Raw genomic sequence first — 10,091 nt, forward strand, 5'->3', positions numbered from 1 at the left:
TCTACAAGGAGAACTATAAACTCAGATAAATCAGATATGACATAAACAAATGGAAAAACATTTCATGCTTACAGATAGGAAGAATTCATATTGTTAAAATAGCCATGCTAACCCCCAAAATTTATAGAGTTAATACTATTCTCATTAAACTACCACTGACATTTTTCACAAAACTAGAAAAATCTATTTTAAAACTTATATGGAACCAAAAAATTGCCTGAATAGTCAAGACAATCCTAAGGAAAAAAGAACAAAGCTGGAGACATTATGCTCTCCAACTTCAAACTACACTACGGGGCTATAGTAACCAAAACAGCATGGTACTGGTACAAGAACAGACACATATACTAATGAAAAAGAATAAAGAATGCAGAAATAAGACTGCACAGCTACAACTATCTGATCTTTGACAAACCTGACAAAAACAAGCAATGGAAAATGACTACCTATTCAATAAATGGTGCTGGGATAACTGGCTAGCCATATGCAGAAAATTGAAACAGAACCCCTTCCTCCATCATCCTCAGCAAACTAACACAGGAACAGAAAACCAAACAGCACGTTCTCACTCATAAGTGGAAGTTGAACAATAAGAATACATGGACACTGGGGTGGGGGGAAAACAATACACACCGGGGGCTAGTCGGGGGTTGGGGGTGAGGGGAGGGAGAGCATTAGGACAAACAGCTAATGCATGCAGGGCTTGAAGCCTGGATGATGGGTTGATAAGTGCAGCAATTCACCATGGCACACATATACCTATGTAACAAACCTACACGTTCTGCACTTGTATCCCAGAAATTAAACTAAAATTAAAAAACAAAAAAGAAACTGAATTCCTTCCTTACACCCTATAGAAAAATTTACTCAAGATAGTTTAATGAGTTAAATGCAAAACCTAAAATTATAAAAATTTTAGAAGACAACCTAGGCAATACCATAGGCATGGGCAAATATTATATAATGAAGATGCCAAAGCAATTGCAACAAAGGAAACATTGACAGATGGGTTCTAATTAAACTAAAGAGCTTCTGCACAGCAAAAGAAACTATCAACAGAGTAAACAGACAATATACAGAATGGGAGAAAATTTTTGTGAACTATGCATCTGACAAAGATCTAATTTTCAGCATCTATAAGGGACTTAAATTTACAAGAAAAAAACAACCTTATTAAAAAGTGGGCAAAGGACATGAAGAGACACTTTTCAAAAGAAGACATACATGCAGCCAATAAAATTTCACCATCACTGATCATTAGGGAAATGCAAATCCAAACCACAATGAGATACCATTTTATAACAATCAAAATGGCTATTACTAAAAAGTCAAAAAATAACAGATGCTGGCAAAGTTGTGGCGAAAAAGGAACGTTTTTACCCTGTTGGTGGAAGTGTAAATGAGTTCAACCATTGTGGAAGACAGCGTGGTGATTCTTCAAAGATCTAAAGACAAAAATACCATTTGACCAAGCAATCTCATTACTGGGTATATACCCAAAGCAATATAAGTCATTCTATTATAAAGACACATGCACACACAAATTCATTGGAGCCCTATTCATAATAGCAAAGACATCAAATCAACCCACATGTTCATCTGTAATAGACTGGATGAAGAAAATGTAGTACATATACACCATGGAGTACTATGTAGCCATAAAAAAGAACAAGATCATATCCTTTGAAGGGACGTGAATGGAGCTGGAGACCATTATCCTTAGCAAATAAACACATGAACAGGAAACCCAACACCACATGTTCTCACTTATAAGTGGGAGCTAGATGATGGGAGAACACAGACACATAGAAGGGAGCAGCATGCACTGGGGCCTATCAGGAGGTGGAGGGTGGGAGGAGGAAGAGAAACAGAAAAAATAACTGATGGTTAGTAGGCTTAATGCCTGGGTGATAAAATAATGTGTACAAACAACCTTTATGACACGTTTAACACACACATTTAAGTTACGTGTCAGGTGGCACAGACGTGTCACACGTGTCACTCACATGTCGGTGAAGTGTCTCACATGTCACACATGTGTCAGTCATATGTCACACGTCAGTCACTTGTTAGTCACGTGTCATACATGCATCACCCATGTATTATTCACGTGTCTGTCACATGTTGGTAATGCGTGTTACACAAGACTGTCATGTGACTCGCATGTGACATGACTGACATGTGTGATGTGCGTGACACATGGGTGATACGTGACTGACATATGTGTGAATGGGCTTGACAAGTGACAGACACGTGACTGGTATGTGACTGACGTGTGTGAATCGTGACAGACGTGACAAACACGTGACTGACACGTGATAGATGTGTGTGACATGTGACTTAGACGTGTGACACATGACTGATACGTGACTGACACCTGTGAGACAAGTGACTGACACATGATCAACACATAAATGATATGTGACACATGACTGACACGTGACTGAGACCTGTGTGACACGTGACACTTGTGTGACACCTGATAGGCACATGTGTGAAACCTGATTGACGCGTGTGACACCTGTGTGACACGTGACTGAAATGTGTGTGACACCTGACATGACTTACAGGTGTGTGACACCTCTGTGACATGTGACCAATATGTGTGTGACACATGATGGACATGTGTGTGACACGTGTTTGACTCGACCAAATTTTTTCACACCTGGCTGACACTGTGCGAAACCTGACGGACATGAATGAGACATGTGTGTGACATATGACTGACACGTGTGTGACATGTGACCAACACGTGGGTCACAAGTAATTGACGTGGTGGACACGTGTATAACGTGACATGTGACTGACAGGTTTGTGATGTGACCAACACGTGACTGACATGTGTGACATGTGATTGATGTGACACGTGGCTGACATGTGTGACACGTGACTGACACATGACTGACGCGTCTTTTAAAAGTAACTGACGTAATAGACATATGACTTACACATGTGACACGTGAAAAATTAACACGACTGACACGTTTGCGACATGTGACTGAAACGTGATGGATACATGTGTGACCCCTGACTGAAGTGACACACATTTGTGACACGTGACTGATACGTGACATGAGTGACACTTGTGTGACATGTGACCAACGTGTGTAACACAGGATGGACATGTGTGATACACGTGTTTGACTCTTGACCAAATTGTGTCACACCTGACTGACACTTGTGTGAAACCTGACATGAGTGAGACACATGGCACATGACTTACAAGTGTGTGCATGTGATCAACGTGTAACTGACATGTGTGACATGTGATAGACAAATGTGTGACATGTGTCTGACTTGTGTGACACGTGACCAACGTTACTGACACATGTTTGACATGTGACTTGAGATGTGACTGATGTGTGTGACATGTGACTTACACCTGACTGACACGTGTGTGACACATGACTGTGTGACACTCAACTGACATGGGTGTGACACATTAGTGACAACCAGTTTTTAAGTTTACATGTGATTGCCATTTTATATACTCACCACTTCTTGCATCTTAGAAAGACCATTAAAGCATATATTCTAAGTTTTTATTTAGTTAGTTATTTTTATAGAGACAGGGCCTCTCTATGTTGCCCAGGCTGGTGTCGAACTCCTGATTTTGTTTTTAAATTTAACTTTCATTTTAAGAAATTCTATTTTTCCAAAATCTACCTGTTTATTCCTAATAGTACCTTACTGCTTCTTCAGCTTAGTTATTATCTTTTGTTCTATAATCTGTATCTAACAATTGCAATATCTTTTTCCTTAGGTAGCTAGAACTCTTTTGTATTTCCTGGTTCCTAGTTGACCCTTTCTTATAATGTCTTACCTTCTTGTGTAATTTTAATTGTGAGCTCATTATTGATCTTAAACTGTGGGGGTCCCATGGATCTAAATTTGGGAAACTTTTCTCTGGAGTGGATATGATTATCCTTCTGCATGTGGTCATTGGACACTATTCTCTCAGAACAATTCAGCCCATTGGATCTCAGGTGAAAGAATGCCAGGCTCAAACTTTTCTACTTGCACTGGCCAAGGCTTAGTATCCCGATCACAGTGCTGCTGCAGCTATCTTCTCTAGTGGGGATGCTATAAATCCTGGATGTCCATCGCTCAGGCCCACGTTCCCAGTTCCTTTGTATAATCTATTGGCTAATCTACCAACATGTTTTGGTTTTTATTCTATTGTGTTTTTCATTTCTGTATGCTCTATGTGCTTCTTTTTCAAATCTGTTTATTTCCTTTCAAACTTTTCTTTTTAAAGATAAATAAAACATTTTCAATTGTTCCCCTTTCCCTTTCTTTCCCCAGGCCCCTGACATTTATTACGGCAGCTTTTTAACCAGTCTCCCTATTTATATGTTCAAGGAATGACCAGTGGAAAATAAGATAGGTAAGATAGGTTGTGGTTAGATTAGGGAGGGCTTTAAATGCAGGTTTTAAGAGGTTGGCCTTTACTCTAGAAGCAAAGAGGAGCTATTGACTCTTGTTGAGCTGAAGAGTCATATAACCAGAGCTATGTTTTTAGGACATTTGTTCTGGGTAAGATAATTTGGAGAGGGGTAACCGCTTTCTTTCATACATCATGTATAAAGAGTTTTAAACTACTTAAACATCCATATTTCATTGATTCTCAAATGCATATTTTCCTTACATGTTTGAAATTGGGATGAGCCTTACAATCACTATCACCCTTGCTGCATTCGTGATGTAGTTGTCATGTGCACATGAGTAAACTTAATCCAAATATCCTCTGGGACGTTCTGGTAAGATCAAGAAAGCACTAACATCCAGATTTGCAGAATAAGTCTGAACAGCTTGGAAGATAATTCTAGAGAAAATAGTAAAGCATTCCTTTAGCCTCCTCAATGCTCTTGATGGGACAGAGGATGATACCATGTGGAAAATCACAGAACTCAATGGCTATGAGTCAAAAAGACTCAAGGAAGTTGGACTTAATGAAAAGGAGTTTTAGAAATATAATAACTTTATTTTGCTTTGTCTATGTCTAAAGTCTAAAATAACTCTTTCATTAAATATAGAATAAAAATTCTGTGTGAATAGAAAGCATTGAGTGTTTGTTTCATTGGCAGTCTTTATCTTTTCTTAGTGTTACATAAAGGTAAAATGTGTCTTATAATCATGGATGTCCTAGATTCTCTGAAATTTAGTACTTGCTATTCTTTTTTTTTTTTTTTTTTGAGATGGAGTCTTGCTCTGTTGCCTAGGCTGGAGAGCAGTGGTGCTATCTTTGCTCACTGCAAGCTCCGCCTCCCAGGTTCACACCTTTCTCCTGCCTCAGCCTCCTGAGTAGCTGAGACTACAGGCACCTGCCACCATGCCCGGCTAATTTTTTGTATTTTAAGTAGAGATGGGGTTTCACTGTTTTAGCCAGGATAGTCTCAATCTCCTAACCTCATATTCCGGCCAACTTGGCCTCCCAAAGTGCTGAGATTACAGGCATGAGCCACTGCACCTGTCTGTACTTGCTATTCTTATATACTCCTCAGTGAACTTTCCATGCAGTGGGCCATGGAGTTCAAGACCAGCCTGGCAACACGGTGAAACCCTGTCTCTACCAAAAACACAAAAATTAGCCGAGTGTGGTGGTGGGCACCTGTAATCCCAGCTACTCGGGAGACTGAGGCAGGAGAATCGCTTGAACTCAGGAGGTGGAGATTGCAGTGAGCTGAGATTGTGCCACTGCACTCCAGCCTGGGTGACAGAGTTAGGTTCTGTCTCAAAAAAAAAAAAAAAAAGTTGAAGGGGTTGAAATTATTTGGTTTGGGGCCTGCCCATCTCTCACATGATCTCTCATCACTTCCTGCTTTGCACTTTGTTACAGGAATACTGAAATGCTTGTAGCATTTTACATCCCTTCCAATCTTTCTGTGGTATTTCTCACCATCATGCCTATGTATCATGGTATCACTCTACTCATAGCACCTCTTTCCCCACATATCCATCCTTTACTAAGAGTCAGCACTGCCTGGGCTCTTACTTGCTATCCAGCTCCATGTTAAATATCTTAAATCCAGTAGTTTATTTAATGCTCACAGCAACCTTCTAAGGTGGATACTGTTACCCTCATTTTACATATGAGTGAACTGAGGCTTAGAGAAAGTATGGTAACTTGCTTAAGGCTGCACAGCTAATAAGGGGAACCAGGATTTAAATTATGATATTTCTGATTTCAGAGTCTAACTTCTAATGTTAGTCTGGGTCCTCTGAGAAGCAGAAAGCAAAAAGGAATTAAATGTTCAAGGATTTCAGTAGGGGAAACATCGATATGAGAGCAAATGGTGGGGGGAGCCAGAGAAGGCAGAGACAGCCATTAGACTGATGTAAATCTGACACCCCTGGTGAAGCGGGAAGGAAGAAATGGTGGGTGGGAGCATCCTAGCCTGCCACACAGTCAAAGAAAGGTTTGGTAAGGTTAAGTCCTTGAGCCAAACTCTGCATCTCCCCACAATAGTACTGCCTTAGTATCCCTGCTCTGCTCAGTCCCTTGGCTAGAAGCAGCCCACGGGAAGTGTGGCATTGTGCAAAAACAGTGATGAATTTCAGACCACAGCAGTTGGGGCTCTTGATCAATGATGCTCCTGTAATTTAGTGGTTCTCAACCAGCCGGTTTTTCCCCGCAGGGGACAGTTGGCAACAGCTGGAGACATTTTTGCTTGGCACAGGTAGGGGAAGGATGGCTCCTGGCATCCAATGAGTAGAGGCCAGGGATACAATGAGTATCCCTGGCATCCGATGAGTAGAATTGTATCCTACAATGCACAGGCCAGCTCCCCACATCAAAGAATAATCTTGTCCAAAGTGTCAATAGCGACAAGGTTGAGAAACCCTGCCACAGTTGGAGGCTTGCATGGTGTGTTCTCAGGGCCACTGTAGTTCTCCACCTCTCTGTCATATTGCCTCTACCAGTAAGCTTTCCCTGCCTTTCTCCTTTACACTCATTCCAAATTAGATGTCCTTCCTCTCTTGCCTTCATAGCACTCTGCATACCTCCATCATAGCACTTATCAAACTGCATTATTGCATATTGACTTGTCTGTCTCCCTCTAAGGATTGTGAGAACCTTAAAGGCAGGAGCTTTGTCTTACTTTCCTTTGTATCCTTTGCACCCACCATAGGTGCTGGCACCTAGTAAATGCTTATTAAATGAATGAAAGTGAGAGAAGACTCTGAAACAGTTTAGCACCTTTCTACACTAGTGGCTCCGATGACCCTCTGCTTAATGTCTACCAGTAGGGAAAATTCCCTACTGACGTTTTCACTTGAAAGTCCCATAGTAGCTGAAACTCAGCATGTTCCTTACAAAATGTGTGCTTCTCTTCAATTCTGTGGAGACTTGCCATGTTCTCTTTATCTGTGAGTGGCCCCATAATTTATCCTATTATTGAAACTAGAGGCCAGGCACAGTGGCTCATGTCTGTAATCCCAGCACTTTGGAATGCCGAGGTGGGAGGGTCACTCAAGCTCAGGCGCTCAAGACCAGCCTGGCCAACATAGTGAGAGCCCTGGTTTTTTCAAAAAATTTTTAAATAAATTATCTGGGTGTAGTAGTGCACACTTGTGGTCCTAGCTACTCAGGAGGCTGAGGTGGGAGGATAGCTTGAGCCCAGGAGTTCAAGGCTGCAGGGAGCCATGATTACACTTCTGCACTCCAGCCTGGGTGACAGAGTGACACCCTGTCTCAAAAAAAAAAAAAAAAAGACTCAAGCCTGTAATCCCAGCACTTTGGGAGGTCAAGGCAGGTGGATCACCTGAGGTCAGGAGTTTGAAACCAGCCTGGCCAACATGGTGAAACCCCATCTCTACTAAAAATACCAAAAACAATTAGCCGGGCATGGTGGTGCCTGCCTGTAATCCCATGTAATCCCAGCTGCTTGGGAGGCTGAGGCAGGACAATCGCTTGAACCCAGGAGGTGGAAGTTGCAGTGAGCCGAGATCGCACCACTGCACTCCAGCCTGGACAACAAGAGTGAAACTCCATCTCAAAAAAAAAAAATAGAAAAGAAAAGAAATTACAAACCTGAGAGTCACACTTTTTTCCGTATTCCCTAATATCTTTAAATCACTAACTTGTAAGCATTTGGTTTTTCCTAATATCTCTTAAACCTTCTTCCTTCACTCCATTCCCACTGTCATTGCCTTAACACTGCATCTCATTGCTTCTCTTGTAGATGATTTCAAGAGTCTCCTAGCTCATCACCCTGTTTCTAGTCTCGCTACACAACCCCTTCAAACTTATACTCTGCACCGCTGCCAGAGTGATATTCCTAACACATATCTGAGTATATTATCCTCTTGCTTGAAATCCTTCAAGGGGTCCTTGTGATCTTTAGGATAAAGTCCAAACTTCTTATCACAGCACACATGACTCCCATGACCTGGACCCTGACTGGCTTTCCAACCTTATTTTTCATCACTTTCTCACACATATCTTTGGCTCTATTTCTCAACTGGGGGCAATTTTGTCCCCTAGGGAACATCTTGCAATGCTGGTGGTATTTTTGGTTGTCACAACTCAGAGAAGTAAGGTGCTACTGACATTTAGTGAGTAGAATTCAGGTATACTGATGGTAAACATGCTGCAGTACACAGGACAGCCTCCCACAACAAAGAATTATCCAGCCCCAAATATCAGCAATAACTGTATTAATACTTTGTATTAATACAAAGCATTAATACTTTGTATTAATTAATAAACTATTAATTAACAATTAATAAATGATTAATTAATAATTAATAAACAATTAATTAATAATTAAATAAAATACTGTAATAATACTTTGGAAGCATGCTGCTTTTACTTGTGTGTGTCCAAAATGTGCTTGGAATGCCTTTCTCCCCCTTTTGCATTAGGCTCACTCCCACTTGCCCTTCAAAACAACATTAAATTCTCACCTCTTTTGGGAAGCCTTCCCTGACCTCCCATCATAAATTAGATGTCCCTCCTTTGTCTCTTATGGCCCTCAGTGCCTGCCCTCCCATAACAATTATTAGATAGCGTTGTAATTATTGTAATTATTTTATTGTCTCTTCCCTGGAGAGACTGAATTCCTTGACAGCAGATATCACAGTTTATTCATCATTGTATCCCCTGTATGTGGCACATGGTACATGTTTCAATAAATGTTTGTTACATGAATGGCCACAGAACCCATACAAATGACTGCTTAGATCCCAAAGAGTAGAATTTGTTGCTTGTCATCACCTTCACCACTGGTGTGTCTTTAAAATGATGCCTAAAATATTTACGGTGTTGCCGGGCTAACACCTGTAATTCCAGCACTTTGAGAGGCGGAGGCAGGCAGATTGCTTGAGGTCAGGAGCTGGGGCAACAGTAGAATAATGAAAAGCTCACTAATGCAGAAACAGTTAAGGTTCATAGAAACAGTTAACATTAACTTTGGCACTGTGTGTCAAGCGAGGCCTAGGCCTGTTATCTCCTTCCCAAGAGTCTCTCAAACTCAACTGTAACACTAAGGTAACCAAATGCAAAGAGGTAAATCTCTACATTTTAAAAAGTGTTCTAATGATATTTATTCTACCTAATTGAATCGCTTTAGGCTGAACCAATGCTAGGAAAAGACTCATTTAGACTGCGATTGGAAAAAATGTTATGAGAAAGATAAACTTTTAAACTTCAGTATGAGAGACCATGCGAGGACAGTATCCTCCAGATGCCCAGAGAAATTTCCGATTGAGATAACATCAGGAGGCTGGGCGCAGTGGCTCAAGCCTGTAATCTCAGCATTTTGGGAGGCCGAGGTGGGTGGATTATCTGAGGTTAGGAGTTTGAGACCAGCCTGGCCAACATGGTGAAACCCCATCTCTACTAAAAATATGAAAATTAGCCAGGTGTGGTGGCATGTGCCTGTAATCTTAGCTACTTGGGAGGCTGAGACTGGAGAATCACTTGAACCTGGGAGTCGGAGGTTGCAGTGAGCCGAGATCGCCCCATTGCACTCCAGCCTGGAGAATAAGAGCAAAACTTAGTCTCAAAAAAAAAAAAAAAAAAAAAAAAAGGAGATAACATCGGGAGATTTTATGGAGTCTCTGGGCAGCAGAGGAAACCTCCCATT

Source organism: Homo sapiens, chromosome 7 (assembly GCF_000001405.40).
Source record: "Homo sapiens chromosome 7, GRCh38.p14 Primary Assembly".
Lineage (NCBI taxonomy): Eukaryota > Metazoa > Chordata > Mammalia > Primates > Hominidae > Homo > Homo sapiens.